At 45.8% G+C, this 17377-nt stretch overlaps 1 pseudogene; it reads left to right on the top strand.

Moving 5' to 3' along the window:
* On the top strand, positions 9801 to 9891 carry RNY4P27 (RNY4 pseudogene 27; annotated as a pseudogene).

Below are 17377 nucleotides of genomic sequence, written 5' to 3'. Positions count from 1 at the left end.
TGGCTCACACCTGTAATCCCAGCACTTTGGGAGGCCGAGGTGGGTGGATCACCTGAGGTCAGGAGTTTGAGACCAGCCTGGCCAATATGGTGAAATCTCGCTTCTACTAAAAAAAAAAAAAAAAAAAAAAAAAATAGTTGTGCCTGGTGGTGTGCACCTGTACTCCCAGCTACTCAGAAGGTTGAGGCAGGTGAATCGCCCAGGAGGCCGAGGTTGCAGTGAGCGGAGATCACGCCACTGCACTCCAGCCTGAGACTGTCTCAAACAAAAGAAAAAGAAAAAACAAACAAAAAACCCCCGCAGAGGTAGCCCTCATGGGTAATCGAGAAGCAGAAGATCATTCAGGTTGTAGCACAGTTGAGCCAGCCGTTGAGCTGTTACACCCATCAACAGGTACCTACCGCTTCTTAGTAACTCAGCTCCTCTCTATTTTTACTGATTCTACTGAAGCACTCAATATATGTCCACTGAAAGAGAACAAGTGGTCCCACCAGCAATCACTTAACATAAGGGGCCCTATGAGGAAGAGCCTTCAGGCCACTGTACCCATAGGCTACTGGCCACCCCATAAAGGATGATGTGTCAGGTCCCCCCATTGTCTGGCTAGGTGGTGGTCCATCTGGATGGCCATCCGTGTGTAAAGACCCACTCAGAAGGGACTCTTGGCAGTACTTTGAGGCTTCTAGGGAGGGAATTGGGGCTGATCGTGGAAGCTTACGCCTGTAATCCTAGCACTTTGGGAGGCTGAGGCAGGAGCATACTTCAGCTCAGGAGTTCAAGACTGGCCTGGGTAACATAGTGAGACCCTGTCTCTATAAATTTTTTTATTTTATTTTATTTTATTTTATTTATTTATTTATTTATTTTTGAGACGGAGTCTCGGCTCACTGCAACCTCTGCCTCCTGGGTTCAAGCAATTCTCTTGGCTCAGCCTCCCGAGTAGCTGGGATTACAGGTGCACACCACCATGCCTGGCTAATTTTTGTATTTTTCAGTAGAGACAGAGTTTCACCATGTTGGGCAGACTGGTCTCGAACTCCTGACCTTGTGATCCTCCCATCTTGGCCTCCCAAAGTGTTGGGATTACAGGCGTGAGCCACCGTGCCATGCCAACATTTTTTTTTTTTTAAAGGAAGGGAGTTGGCCTGTCCAGCAGAAATGTTCTTAGCATGTCATTCAACTGCCTTAAAAATCTAGTTTCAGCCCACTTTCCCTGTCTTTGCTGTCATTCCTCTTTCTTTTATCTTTTTTTTTTTTAGACACAGTCTCACTCTGTCACCCAGGCTGGAGTGCTATGGTGCAATCTTGGCTCACTGCAAACTCCACCTCCCAGGTTCAAGTGATTCTCCTGCCTCAGCCGCCCAAGTAGCTGGGATTACAGGTGCCCACCACCACACCTGGCTAATTTTTCTATTTTTAGTAGAGATGGGATTTCACCATGCTGGCCAGGCTGGTCTTGAACTCCTGACCTCAGGTGATCCACTCATCTCTGCCTCCCAAAGTGCTGGGATTACAGGTATGAGCTACCATGCCTGGCCTGTCATTCCTCTTTCATTAATACTCTACATTTCAGTAAAAGGTATAACACTTAGTGTCCTTGTACAGTCTCTCCTCTTCGCACGTGCTGTTCTCTCCCCCAGGGTGCCATTTCTCTACCATCACATTTAGAAGGTGTCCCATCCCTCAAGGCGCAGCACATGAATCTTCCTTTATGTAAGCAGGGTCGGAATGATGACCCCTGTTTTACAGGCAGGAGATTAAAGCACAGAGGTATTTGATGCCTTGCCAAAAATATGTTATTGCCAAAACATGATGTCAGGATTTAATCTCAGGCCCCTTGACTCTTTAGTAGGTCAATGCTCACCCCAAAGTTTGGCAGAGCACCATGAAAACATAACTTGAGTACTAAATCTGCCCTTGCATTAAGGATTTCAACCGGCTGTATTGTATTATTAGAGACAATACAAGGAAATGATGCATGAGGATGCAGAGATGACATTTCTGTTAAAGATTCAATTAACTGATGATGGTATGGAAAGTTGAATATCCAACAACTATTTCAAAAGTAAAAAAGCAGGCCAGGCATGGTGGCTCACGCCTGTAATTTCAGCACTTTGGGAGGCCAAGGCGAGCAGATCACTTGAAGCCAGGAGTCCGGGACCAGCCTGGCCAACAGGGTGAAACCCCTTCCCTATTGAAAAAAAAAAAAAAAAAAAAGGCAGGCCGGGCACGATGGCTCGTGCCTGTAATCCCAGCACTTTGGGAGGCCAAGGCAGGCGGATCATCTGAGGTCAGGAGTTCTAGACCAGCCTGACCAACATGGCAAAACCCATCTCTACTAAAAATACAAAAATTACTCAGGTCTGGTGGTGGGCTCCTGTAATCCCAACTACTTGGGAGGCTGAGGCAGGAGAATCACTTGAACCTGGGAAGCGGAGGTTGCAGTGAGCCGAGATCACACCATTTCACTCCAGCCTGGGCGACAGAGTGAGACCCGTCTCAGAAAAAAAAAAAAAAAAAAAAAAAAGCCAGGCATGGTGGCACACGCCTGTATCCCAGCTACTCGGGAGACTGAGGCAGGAGAATCGCTTGAACCCAGAAGGCAGAGGTTGCAGTGAGCCGAGATGGCACCACTGCACTTCAGCCTGGGCAAGACAGCAAGACTCCACCTCAAAAAAATAAAATAAAATAAAATAAAATAAAATAAAATAAAATAAAATAAAATAAGTAAAAAAAGCAAAAATTAGATGAGAGTTTGTCTAACAGTTTAAAACTTAGATAAATCAGAGTTAGTCATGAACAGAAATTCTGAAAGAGGAAAAAAACACAAGGTGTTTATATATTAGGAATAAATATGATTCAGAGAATATAGCTAGGCTGGGCGTGGTGGCTCAGCCTGTAATCCCAGCACTTTGGGAGGCCGAGGCGGGTGGATCACGTGCGCCCAGGAGTTTGAGATCAGCCTGGCCAACATGGTGAAACCCCATCTCTACTACAAATGCAAAAAATTAGCCAGACATGCGGCATGTGCCTGTAGTCCCAGCTACTCGGGAGGCTGACGTACAAGAATCCCTTCAGCCCAGGAGGCGGAGGTTACAGTGAGCTGAGATCGCACCACTGCACTCCAGTCTGGGCGACAGAGCGAGGCTCTGTCTCAAAAATAAATAAATAAATAATAAAGGAATATAGCTATTAGTTTTTTCATTTTAAAAATATTTAGGGGAGCATTTGGAGTGAACATGTGTAATGAAACAGAATGTAAACAGTCTTTTTAAGGGTCCATGGTCCGTGGTCATGCCACTCTGTTTGGCAACACTTGGGTTCGGATGCCCAATGGGTGCACTTGACAAGCTGAGCAGATTTAAGTCTGAATTGATTCTAGGGCTCTAGGGCCCACTGCTGGGGGGTTCCAGTGTCTGATATCAGCCACGAGAATCCATTTTTCCAAGGAAGCCTGTTGCCTTATCTTGTATGTAGAACACAGCAAATTGCAACTCGGATTTTCCAAGGGTGTCAAAGGAAAGAGAAGGTCCACTTTCTCTTCCTGATTGTTATTGCCACCATACATTCTGGATAAGAACATGGGCACCAATGACTTCTTTTATATCCTGCAGAAAAGCAGCACAAGAAATATATACAGAGTTTTTACTGAAAAAAAAAATGAGATGCAAAAGGAAAGTAACCCTGCCTGATAAAATAATTTCTTTATAAATTTTAATTAATTAATTTTTATTTTTAGAGATGGGGGTCTCGCTATGTTGCCCAGGCTGGTCTCGAACTCCTGGTCTCAAGCCATCTTTCTGCTTTGACCTTCCAAAGTGTAGGAATTACAGGCGTGAGCCACCGCACCCAGCCAAAATAATTTCATCAACAGCTACAATACTAAGATTTGTGCACTTTGGGGTAAATACATAAAGTGTTTTTTCCCCCTAAACGCTGCCTATGATCTTTGTTATCCCCAAACTGGTCTATGTTATCCTCTTTCCCTTAATGAATTCTCAAAGTGATTCTATATTTTTTTCAGTTCATAAGGCTCAGCTCTGTTCACTTACAACTTCAATCTCACATCCTACTCAAGTTTCTCACCTGTCAGCCAAGCAAGTTAGCCTCAAGGCCCTAGATCAGGGTGTCTCAACTTCAGTGCTGCTGACATTTGAGGGGCTGTCCTGTGCATTGTTACATATTTAGCAGTATCCCCAATCGGTACCTACTACATACCAGCAGCACCCTCCCCACAGTAGTGACAATCAGAAATGCCTCCAAGCATTGCCGAATGTCCCCTGGGGGTGCAAATCACCCCCATTTGGGAGCCACAGCTCTAGATGTTTGGAATGCTTGTGTGGGGATTTTGGTATGTTCTGGTTTTCACAGACCTCTTCCTCCTCCCTTTTTCTGGTGCCAAAATTCCTGAATTAAGAAATTGCGGCCAGGCCCGGTGGCTCATGCCTGTAATCCTGGCACTTTGGGAGGCCGAGGCAGGCAGATCACTTGAGGTCAAGAGTTTGAAACCAGCCATGGCCAAGATGGTGAAACCCTGTCTCTACTAAAAATACAAAAAATTAGCCAGGCATGGTGGCACATGCCTGTAATCCTAGCTACTGGGGAGGCTGAGGCAGGACAATTGCTTGAACCCGGGAAGCAGAGGTTGCAGTGAGCTGAAATCGCACCACTGCACTCCAGCCTGGGTGACAGAGGGAGACTCTGTCTCAAAAAAAAAAAAAAAAAAAAAGAAATTGCAATCTAGCTATCCACTTATTTTATTTGCAGTTGGAGAGGTAGGGTGGAGATATAGGAACGACTGAATTTAATATTTTGATAAATTATCTTGCCATAATAGCTTCTTCTCATTAAACATCTATGTTCCAGGAATTGTAATAAACACTGTCACATAAACAATAATCCTGTGAGACTGGGCGCAGTGACTCGCCTGTAATCCCAGCACTCTGGGAGGCCAAGGCAGGCGGATCACAAGGTGAGGAGTTCAAGATGAGCCTGGCCAATATGGTGAAACCCCATCTCTACTGAAAATACAAAAATTAGCCGCGTGTGGTGGCGGGCACCCGTAAACCCAGCTACTCGGGAGGCTGAGGCAGGAGAATCCTTTGAAACCAGGAGGCAGAGATTGTAGTGAGCTGAGATCGCATGCCACTGCACTGCAGCCTGGGCGACAGGGCAAGACTCTGTCTCATTAAAACAAACAAACAAATAAACAAACAAACAATAACCCTATGAGTTAGGTACTACTTTTTGTATCCATATTACAGATGAGAAACCAATTTCAGCAAACATAAGTAAATTTCCCAGGGTGGTCCAGCTGTAAAAGAAGATACGAATATAAATCTAGACAATCTGGGTTACAGGGCACAAAGTATTCATCTTCAACTTGGAGTTCAGCTTCTGGAATGCAAGGGTGGATTAACACAGGGGAACTGGGAGAGATGGGCTTATGTGTGTTAGGCCCAGGCCAGCAGATGTGAAGCTTCACAGGACTGTGTGGGTAGAAGGGAGGTCCAAATCATACATAAGCAACAAGGGCCTATCTGGGCAACATTCTGGGGAGGCTCAATGCAGCAGAATGATGACTAGGGGTTATTTGTTTCTTTCTTTATTTCCAATCCTATTCCTGCCAAACCTCCCTGCCCCAGGAACCCAGGACAGGTATCCTGCACCCCTCTTACCTGTGTCTCCATTTTCTCCGCATCTTGTTTCGGGTTTCGCTGACAAAGCTCCTCAATCGGTAGGGCGTGGTGGCTCACGCCTGTAATCCCAGCACTTTGGGAGACTGAGGTGAGACGATCACTTGAGGCCAGGAGTTCAAGACCAGCCTGGAGAACATAGTGAAACCCTGTCTCTACTAAAAATACAAAAAAATTAGCTGAGCTTGGTGGTGCTTGCCTATAATCCCAACTACTCAGGAGGCTGAAGCATAAGAATCTCTTGAGCCTGGGAGGTGGAGGAGGCAGTCAGCCAAGATTGTACCACTGCACTCCAGCCTGGGCAACAGAGCAAGCTCTTTCCCCCACCGCCTCCCCCCCCCAAAAAAAAGAAAAAAGAAAAAAGAAAAAAAAACCCTCAACAAATTTACCCTCTGATTTCTTTTTTAACTTAATCCCAAATGTGATAGTACCCTCTGATGTTAATGTTAGCTTGGTCTCATATGAAACTGACCATCACCAAGGTAATATAGCCACATCTGGACAGTGAACGGCCTATTGGCTGGTGAAAAGCCAAGATGACTGGCTTTGAATCAAACAATGCAGGTGTATGCCCAGCTCTATTACTGTCACTGAAAACATGTGTGGCCTCAGCAAATCAGGGACCTTCTCTGAGCCTCAGATTCTTTTCCTATAAATTCGGATGATATCTCCCACCTCACAGAATTATGTTTGGGATTAACTGAAATTTCACACCTAAGAAAGCCAAGCACTGTCGCTGTATTCTATGAATTTAGTAAAAGTTAGTTGGATCTGAATCAATCCACAGGAGGAAGAATTTTAAAGCATCATTAGTCAGTAATAGACATATTGAGCAGGAAGCAAATTCACATTGTTGGGGGACAATACAGGTTAATATTTAAAAAAAGAAAAACCAAAGGGCTCAGGTTAAATCACCCAGTTCTGATGGGATAAGAAAGGAAATGGCGTTGACGATTAAAAGAGGAGCTCTAAATTTTTGCATCATTTAATCAGCAAAGAGGACAAATTTACAGCAATGCTGGGGAACTTAGCGTGTGCACAAATATATTAGAACTGTTTATAGGGTTTGCTTGACTTTAATTTCCTGGTGTTATTACTATGATTCTTCTTTGGTTGAGGCTTGTAGATGGGTTATATGAAGAATGAGAACACTTCTAGAACTCAGAGTTCCAAATGAATATTAGCCAGGTGTCCATGCCTGACGGCAAATCTAAACAGTTTATTCAAAGAATGAGTCTTACGACTTTTATAGTTTGGGGAACTGTTTTTCTGTGTGGTTCCTCTGGAACAGAGTGGAGGACTGAAACAGCAAAGAGACACTGTTATGATCACCAGGCATCAGGCCAAGACAGGGAAAGAGGATGGGTTTAGGGGATTTGAACTCTGAGAGTTCCTTCAATGGAAAAGTCTATGTCCCTGCAGCACGAGACCCATGACCTTGCCTCTAAAGCATATGCAGGCATCCTTGCCCTTTAACCAAAATCTATCTCATAATAAATCCAGACGCCTGAAGACTTCAGGTACTCTATAGTCTTCTTTTTCTTTCTTTCTTTCTTTTTTTTTTAATTTCTCAGCTGGGCGTGGTGGCTCATGCCGTAATCTGAGCACTTTGGGAGACCGAGGTGGGTGAATCACCTGAGGTCAGGAGTTTGAGACCAGCCTGGCCAACATGGCGAAACCCCGTCTCTACTAAAAATACAAAAATTAGCTGGGCGCGGTGGCGGGCACCTGTAATCCCAGCTACTCGGGAGGCTGAGGCTGGAGAATCACTTGAACCCAGGAGGCGGAGGTGGCAGTGAGCTGAGATTGTACCATTGAACTCCAGCCTGGGCGACAAGAGCGAAACTCTATCTCAAAAAAAAAAAAATTATCTTCTTTTTTGTGTGATTTATGTTTCTTTAAAATTAAAAAAAAAAAAGAAAAGAAAAAAAGATGGGATTACACCATGTTGCCCAGGCTGGTCTCGAACCCCTGAGCTCAGGCAATCCACATACTTTGGCCTCATAAAGTGCTAGAATTACTGGTGTGAGCCACCATGCCTGGCCTATTTTTCTTTTTTTTTTGAGATGGGGTCTTGCTCTGTCGCCCAGGTTGGAGTGCAGTGGCAGGATGATGGCTCACTGCAACCTTGAACTCCTGGGTTCAAGCAATCCTCTCGCCTCAGCCTCTTGAGTAGCTGGGACTACAGGCACGTGCCACTATGCCCGACTACTTTTTTAACTTTTTGTAGAGTAGGGATCTCACTATGTTGCCCAGGTGGTTGTTGATCTCCTGGGCTCAAGCAATCCTCCTGCCTTAGCCTCCCAAGGCCGAGGGATTACAGGTGTGAGCCACCATGCCCAGCCTCACCATAGCCTTCTAGAGGTCCATGTGACCATTCCACGTGGGTATTTCTTCATGGGTGTATGGGTTGCCTCCTATTCTTATGACATTCCACCGAGATCACTTGAGGATGCCAAATCAAGACTACAGCCCATAATACTCATGGATGTATGTCAGTGGTCAGTAGAGACTTCTGTCTTGTTCTATTATTAGTACAATGTTTTCATAAGTCTGCCCATAACATAGCATGTTTCTCAAAAGCATCTAAACACCAACAAATACACAGATTCATCATACCCTGAGAAGCCCAAACAACCCATATGTGAGGAAAATGCAACCACATCTTTGTTGAGTGGGTCAAGTAATAATGGAAATGCAGCTTTTTTTTGTTTGTTTCTTTTGAGACAGAGTCTTGCTCTGTCGTCCAGGTTGGAGTACAGTGGCATGAACTCAGCTCACTGCAACCTCTGACTCCCGGATTCAGGCGATTCTCCTGCCTCAGGCTCCCATGTAGCTGGGATTATAGGCGCCCGCCACCATGCCTGGCTAATTTTTGTATTTTTAGTAGAGATGGGGTTTCACCATGTTGGCAAGGCTGCTCTCAAACTCCTGACCTCAGGTGATCCACGAACCTCAGACTCCCAAAGTGCTCGGATTACAGGCATCAGCCACCGTGCCTTGCCTGCCAGGAACTCGGCTTTATTATGAAATAGGAAAAGCTTGTCTTTAGCTACAGTGGAACTTCCCCATCTTGCCTCCCAGAAGCGGTCCCCTAAAGCCACTCCCAAGGATAGGGAGGAGAGGAGTTACAGAGCCGGAAGAAGGAGTTGTTTTGCTCAGAGCACAAGGTCATTCTTTTCTTTGCAGGATTTAAATCAAAACTCCCACAAAAGCAGAATGGAAGCTTCCAAGGTCAGTTTTGTGCTATCCAAGTGAGAATGTTAAAGGCCAAACTGAGGAGGGCCTGGACAATCAAGCTGTAAAATAGCATCAGTGATACGAAGTTCTCCTTCCTCATCTAAGTTCTGCATGGTCTTTTCACAGGTGGCAATCTGGCTCTGCCTTTCACCTCGAATAGAAGAGAGAGACACATAATCAAGTTCAGAGTTACAAGAAACAGAATCCAATCCTGACTACCTTAAGCAGGAAAAACATTAAAGGCTTTTGTGGCTGGTGCCGTGGCTCACGCCTGTAATGCCAGCACTTTGGGAGGCTGAGGCAGGCAGATCCCCTGAGGCCAGGAGCTCGAGACCAGCCTGGCCAACATGGCGAAACTCCATGTCTACTAAAAATACAAAAATTAGCCAGGTGTGGTGGTGAATACCTGTAATCCCAGCTACTTAGGAGGCTGAGGCAGGAGAATCATTTGAACCTAGGAGGTGGAGTTTGCAGTGAGCTGAGATTGCCCCAGTGCACTCCAGCCTGGGCGACAGAGTGAGACTTTGTCTAAAAAAAAAAAAATATATATATATATATATATATGTATACTTTTGCATTGCTCACAACATATCCAAAAGCAGGGATAACCAGGATTGGAGGCTATGTCTGCAGGAAAAACAGCCAAGACTGTGCCACCAAACGGCTAATGAAGATTCCCTTGCTGCTGCCACTAGACACAGACATGGTCCCTTGCAATGCTGCTGGCCCCCAGATCCTGTGGTCCTTGTCTCTACCTCCACACCTCTGGAAACTGGCTATCGTACTGCCACCCACACCAGTAAGGATTCCACCTAGGCACTGCTCTTTGCAGCACTCGTTTCTGAGTCAAAATCCTATGTGGGACTGGTCCGATGGTAGTGGGTTATCAGAACTTATTAACATTCATGTCCCTAAGGTTGGTATACAGCCTACCACTGCTAAATTTGACTGGCTTAATAAAATAAAAAAAAAAAATAAAATAAGGAAAATCCTACATGGGTAAGTCCAATTGGCAGAGTATGGGCTTTGGGCAGGTATCTGACTTAGCTGTAAGGCTGGAAAAGACAGTATCCAGCTCCCACAGAGGTGAGCAACCCCAGTATCCCAAGAACCAAAAGCACGGGAGTTCCCGAATGGATTAAGGGTGTTTTGAGGTTGGGTGGCCAACAAGAACAACAAATGCCACTCTTGTTACTCATCCATGTGAATTAATATAAGGCAAAGTAGTGCCTCTCCCAGGGGTAGCCACATTCAATCTGTCTTTAACTATGGAATGAAAGGCCTTGCTTCTTGAGTCCTTTAAGATAGCCGGGCAGGCTGGGCACGGTGGCGCATGCCTGTAATCCCAACATTTTGGGAGGCTGAGGCCGGTAGATCACCTGAGGTCAGGAGTTCACAACCAGCCTGAGTAACATGGTGAAACCCTGTCTCTACTAAATACAAAAAAAAAATAGCCGGGCGTGGTGGCACATGCCTGTAATCTGAGCTACTTGGGAGGCTGAAACAGGAGACTCGCTTGTACCCAGGAGGCAGAGGTTGCAGTGAGCCGAGATTGTGCCATTGCACTCCAGCCTGGGCAATAAAAGCGAAACCCCGTCTAAAAAAAAAAAAGAGAGAAAAAGCCGGGCATGGTGGCTCACGCCTGTAATCCCAGCACTTTGGGAGGCCAAGGCAGGCAGATCATTTGAGGTCAGGAGTTTGAGACCAGCCTGGTCAACATGGTGAAGCCTCGTCTCTACTGAAAATACAAAAATTAGCTGGGCGTGGTGGTGTGCACCTATAATCCTAGTTACTGGGGAGGCTGAGGCAGGAGAATCCCTTGAACCTGGAAGATGGAGGCTGCAGTGAGCCAAGATCATGCCATTGCACTCCAGCCTGGGTGACAGAGATAGTCTCAAAAAAAAAAAAAAAAGCCTAACATTAGCTAGTGAGAATGCTGTTGGTGGTATTGAGGTGTGCAGTTTTCATTTATTTATTTATTTTTGAGACAGGACCTTACTGTGTTACCCAGGCTGGTCTCAACATCCTAGGCTCAAGTGATCCTCCTACTTCAGCCTCTGGAGTAGCTGGGACCACAGGTGTGCACCATCACACCTGGCTAACTTTTTAATTTTTTGAAGAGATGGAGTCTCCCTATGTTGCCCAGACTGGTCTTGAACTCCTGAACTCAAGTGATCCTCCTACCTCGGCTTCCCAAAGTGTTGAGATTACAGGCATGAGCCACCACACCCAGCTAGCATTTGGGTATTGATACCAGAAGCTTTCCTGGTATTGAAAAGCATACTCATCTATGAAAAGTTCTGGAAATGGATAGAGGTGATGGTTGTACAACATTGTGAATGTACTTAATGCTACAGAATTGTACACCTAAAATGGCTAAAATGGTGAATTTTTTTTTTTTTTTTTTGAGACAGAGTCTCACTCTGTCACCCAGGCTGGAGTGCAGTGGTATGATCTTGGCTCACTGCAACCTCTGCCTCCGGGTTCAAGCAATTCTCCTGCCTCAGCCTCCCAAGTAGCTTGGATTACAGGCATGTGCCACCACGCCCGGCTAATTTGTGTATTTTTGGTAGAGATGTGGTTTCACCATGCTGGCCAGGCTGGTCTCGAACTCCTGACCTCAAGTGATCCACTGCCTCAGCCTCCCAAAGTGCTAGGATTATAGGTGTGAGCCACCACACCCGGCCATAAAATGATGAATTCTATGTTACATATATTTTATCTTTTTTTTTTTTTTTTACAAAACACACTAAATGGAACCACCCTACTTGCCCCAGTGCTGGCCTTACACGTGGGGCCCATGGGGCACAGCAGCTATACCACATACCTCCTCTTCCACAGGCCTGCCCACAGGCCACAGGTTGGCCCAGGGTGTCCCTTGGTACCATGGTCACTGCACTAGAGTAGAACTCCCTAGATTTCCTTCAACTCTATTCACATTTGACAGGCATCCATGAATGACAACAATAATTAGCTGTTCAAATCCTGTGTTACTTACTGTGTAACCTTGGGCAAGTTGTCTAACTTCTTGAAGATTCCGTTTCCCCATTTAAAATGTAGGGACAATTATAACACCCATTTCTTAGGGTTGTTGTAACAAGTTGACAGGTGTAGAGTGTTTAACACAATGCTGAGCACATAATCAGTGCACAATAAGGTTACCTATTATTAGTATTATTATTTTTTCTTCTATAAACTAGCACCAGGCTCACACCTGTAATCCCAGCACTTTGGGAGGCTGAGGCAGGAAGATCGCTTGAGCTCAGGAGTTTGAGACCAGCTGGGCCAATATGGCAAAGCCCTGTCTCTACTAAAAAAAAAAAAAACACAAAAATCAACCAGGTGTGGTGGCACATGCCTGTAATAGCAGCTACTCAGGAGGTTGAGGCACGAGAATCACTTGAACCTGGGAGGCAGAGGCTGCAGTGAGTTGAGATTGCGCTACTGCACTCCAGGCCAGGTGACAGAGGAAGATTCCGTCTCTAAATAAATAAATAAATAAATAAACTAGCACCAGAGTTTTAAGATTTTCCTTCTCTTAAAGGATAAATTGGTGGCTCACGCCTGTAATCCCAGCACTTTGGGAGGCCGAGGTGGGTGGATCACCTGAGGTCTGGAGTTCGAGACCAGCCTGTCCAACATGGTGAAACCCCATCTCTACAAAAAAAATTAGCTGGGCATGATGGTGCGTGCCTGTAATCCCAGCTACTCGGGAGGCTGAGGTGGGAGAATTGCTTGAACCAGGGAAGCGGAGGTTCCAGTGAGCTGAGATCACGCCATTGCACCCAGCCTGGGTGACAGAGCGAGACTCCATCTCAAAAAAAAAAAAAAAAAGCCTGGGTGAGGTGGCTCACGCCTGTAATCCCAGCACTTTGGGAGGCCGAGGTGGGCGGATCATGAGGTCAGGAGATCGAGACCATACTGGCTAACACAGTGAAACCCTGTCTTTACTAAAAATACAAAAAAATTAGCTGGGCATGGTGGCGGGCACCTGTAGTCCCAGCTACTCAGGAGGCTGAGGAAGGAGAATGGCATGAACCCAGGAGGCGGAGCTTGCAGTGAGCCGAGATTGTGCCACTGCACTCCAGCCTGGGTGACAGAGTGAGATTCTGTCTCAAAAAAAAAAATAAAGATAAGTTGGTTATCTGTTGCTGTATGACAAATATATTAGTTAGGGTACTCCAGAGAAACAGATCCAATGGTGGGGGTAGGAGAGGGAGAGAGAGAGAGAAATTTGTTGTAGGAATTGGCTCATGCAATTATGGAGGTCAAGAAATTCCATAGTCTGCCACTTGAAAGCTGGAGAACCAGGAATGCCAGTGGAGTAGTGCCAGCCTGAGTCTGAAGGCCTGAGAATAGGGACAGGGCAGGAGCAATGGTGTGAATCCCAGTCTAAGTTCAAACGCGCGGAGAATCAGGAGCACTGATATCTGCGGGCAGGAGAAGATGGATGTCTCAGCTCACACAGAGACAGCAAAGTTGCCCTTCCTCCACTTTTTTCTTCTATTTGGGCCCTCAGTGAGTTGGAAGGTGCCCACCCATGTTGGTGAAGGTGACCTTCCTTACTCAGTCTACTAATGCCAAGGAAAATATTTTCTGGAAACACCCTAACAGACACACCCAGAAATAATATTTTACCACCTATTGGGGCATCCTTTAGCCCAATCAAGTTGACACATAATTTTTTTTTTTTTTAGACGGGGTTTCGCTCTTTCGCACAGGCTGGAGTGAAGTGGCACAATCTTGGCTCACTGCAACCTCTGTCGCCCGGGTTCAAGCAATTCTCCTGCCTCAGCATCCTGAGTAGCTGGGATTATAGGCATCCGCCACCACGCCCAGCTAATTTTTGTATTTTCAGTAGAGATGGGGTTTCACCATGTTGGCCAGGCTGGTCTCGAACTCTCGACCTCAGGTGATCCACCCACCTCAGCCTCCCAAAGTGCTGGGATTACAGGTGTGAGCCACTGCGCCCGGCCAACACATAAAATTAACAACCACAACAAATTACCCCAAAACACAGTGGCGTGAAGCAACATTTATTATCTCATTGTTTTCATGGGTTGGAAATCCAGGCATGGTTTAGCTGGGTCTCCTATTTTGGAGTCTTTCACAGGCTGCAATGACAGTGTTGGCGGGGGTGCAGTGTCATCTCAAAGCTGGACTGGAGAAGGGCACTCTTCTGTGCTTACTCATGTGGTTGTTGGAAGGATTCAGGTCCTCAGATACTGTTGGCTGGAGCCCACCCTCTGTCCCTTGCCGAGTGGGTCTCTCCAACATTGTGGCTTTCTTCATCAAAGTGTAATAAGTAAGAAAACAATAAAACAGCATAGCAAGCCAGAAGTCACGCTCTTCTGTAATCTAATCACACAAATGATATTCTATCCCTTTTGGTTATTCTGTTTGTTGAAAGCAAGTCAATATGTTCAGCCCACACTCAAGGGGAGGGGATTACAAAAGGGAATGATCAGTGAGGGCGGTGTGTAAGAGCTGCTTACTCCGGAGGATAAGGACAAGTATGGTTATTCTTGTGTGTGTGTGTGTGTGTGTGTGTGTGGTGTGTGTGTGTTTTTGAGACAGAACCTCATGCTGTCTCCCAGGCTGGGGTGCAGTGGCACAATCTCGGCTCACTGCCACCTCTGCCTCCCAGGTTCAAGCCATTCTCCTGCCTTAGCCTCCCGAGTAGCTGGGATTACAGGCACGCACCACCACGCCCAGCTAATTTTTGTATTTTTAGTAGAGACAGCGTTTCACCATGTTGGTCAGGCTGGTCTCGAACTCCTGACCTCAGGTGATCCACCCACTTCGGCCTCCCAAAGTGCTCGGATTACAGGCATGAGCCACTGCGCCCAGCCCAAGTATGGTTATTCTGATGTTCACTACAGGAAATTCAAGATGGGATATGCTGGAAGGATAATTCTGGTGTTGAGAGAGAAAAGGATTTCTTTGTTAAAGATTTTCTTGTGTGTGCATGGTTATGGGCTCATGCTTTTCATAAAAAATGTCATGTCACTTTCAAGCAATTCTGTAAGGTAGGTGAGAAGACACTGCTGGCCCAGCCTCAAAATTATTTTATATTATTTTATTTTTTTAGAGACAGAGTCTCACTCTATCACTCAGGTTGGAGTGCAGTGGCATGATCTTGGTTCACTGCAGCCTCAACCTCCTGGGCTCAAGTGATCCTCCCACCTCAGCCTCCTAAGTAGCTGGGACTAAAGCTATGTACCACCACACCCAGCTAATTTTTAAATTGTTTGTAGAGATGGGGTCTGGCTATGTTGCCCAGGCTGATCTTAACCTCCTGGCCTCAAGTAATCCTCCCACCTCAGCCTCCCAAAGTGCTGGGATTACAGGCGTGAGCCACTATGCCTGGTCTTCCAATTTTATTCTGGTGGCTACACTCCATGCAGTGCTATGCTTCAGAAGAGGTGGCTCTAACTACTTCAAGGATGAATCTAGGCCTTTCAAAAATCCTATTCTTTTGCCAGTGATTGGCTTAGGAAGGGACATGCGATCCAATCTCAACCAATAAGATGTGAGAATAGGCTAGGTGCAGTGGCTCAAGCCTGTAATCCCAGCATTTTGGGAGGCCGAGGCGGGTGGATCACTTGAGGTTGGGAGTTTGAGACCAGCCTGGCCAATATGGTGAAACCCCCATCTCCACTAAAAGTACAAAAAATTCGCTGGGTGTGGTGGTGCATGCCTGTAGTCCCAGCTACTCAGGAGGCTGAGGCAGGGGAATCACTTGAACCTGGGAGGCAGAGGTTGTAGTGAGTCGAGATTGTGCCACTGCACTCCAGCCTGGGTGAGAGAGTGAGGCTCTGTCTCAAAAAAAGATTTGAGGATAAGTTTGTTACGGGGGCACTTCTGAGAAAAGTTTTTGTTTTTGTTCTAAAAAAAGAGACACAAGTCAGAAGTAGTGGTTCCCTTCCTTCCCTTTCTTTTCCTTTCCTTCTCTTTCCTCCTTTCTCCTCCCCATCCCCTCACCTCCTCTTTCCTCCCTTCCCCTTCCCCTTCCCCTTCCCTTCCCTTCCCTTTTCTTTCCACCTCCATATATTGGTGTGATGGATGCAAAAGCTTGGAGCTTTTGCAGCCATCTTGTGACCAGGAGACAAGGTAATTGAAATTCTGAGGATGACAGAGGAAAAGCAGAAAGGACCTGGGTTTACTCAAAGAGCTTATTGAATAATCCCCATAATAATTGTGCCTCTGGAAATAATATGTTCTATTTTGCTTAAGTCCATTAATTGAGGTAGAGTAATTTGTAGCCAAAAGCATCAATCCAATACAAGAAAACTCATCCTCTCCATTTTGCAGACAGAAGACTAAGATGTGTTGACTAACTTGCTAAAATCACAGAATTTTGTTTTAATACAAAGTAAATTCTTTCCTTTAATAGTGGTATGTGTATGTGTTCTTTATGAAGTTTGCTCTGAGCATCTGAGCCCCTGATTGTCACTATTTCCTTTACTAAAATCCAACAGTAGATAGCACCTGCACCATACCTCCTAGCATTTTGTTATACACTGGGTCATATTATTCTCTGATTGTTTTTCCAGTGTTCAGCTCTTTGAGGGCAGGTCCATAGCTCCCCTGGTTTATCACAGTATAAGGTGCACAATACCTGCTTAATATAGACAGGAAAAATTGACACATGACTGAGTTTGAAATGTACTAACAAATTAATAATCTATTCTGCCTCTTGGTATAAAAAATTAATAACCAAATTTTATGGGAATAATATAAATTTTGTTTTTTTGAAATGGGGTCTCATTCTGTCACCCAGACTAGAATGCAGTGGTGTAATCGTGGCTCACTGAGGCCTTGCCTTGACTTCTTGGGCTCAAGTGATCCTCCCACGTTAGACTCCTGAGTAGCTGGGACCACAAGTGTGTGCCACCACACCTGGCTAATTTTTTGTGCTTTTGTAGAGATAGGTTTTTGCCATGTTGCCCAGGCTGGTCTTGAACTCCTGAGCTCAAAAAATCCACCCACCTCAGTCTCCCAAAGTGCTGAGATTACAGGCATGAGCCACCGCGCCCGGCAATATAAATAATTTAAAACTCTTCACGGCCGGTGGCTCACGCCTGTAATCCCCACACTTTGGGAGGCCTAGGCAGGCAGATCACCTGAGGTCAGGAGTTCGAGACCAGCCTGGCCAACATGGTCAGCTGCCCCCACCCGCCCGCCCCACTAAAAATACAAAAATTAGCAAGGTGTGGTGGCACACGCCTGTAACCCCAGCTACTCAGAAGGCTGAGGCAGGAGAATCGCTTGAACCTCGGAGGCGTCTGTCTCAAAAGAAAAGCCTCTTTGCAGAGCCCTTTTTTCTTTTTAAGGGAGGCTGCCATAAATTCATGCTCTGTGTGATTAATAATCATAAAAATAACAACAGTAGAAGTTGCCATTAACTTAGTGCCAATAGCCCAAACTTTATGTGTGTG

This window comes from Homo sapiens, chromosome 13, assembly GCF_000001405.40.
Source record: "Homo sapiens chromosome 13, GRCh38.p14 Primary Assembly".
Classification (NCBI taxonomy): domain Eukaryota; kingdom Metazoa; phylum Chordata; class Mammalia; order Primates; family Hominidae; genus Homo; species Homo sapiens.
This window is presented reverse-complemented; position numbering and strand designations above follow the sequence as displayed.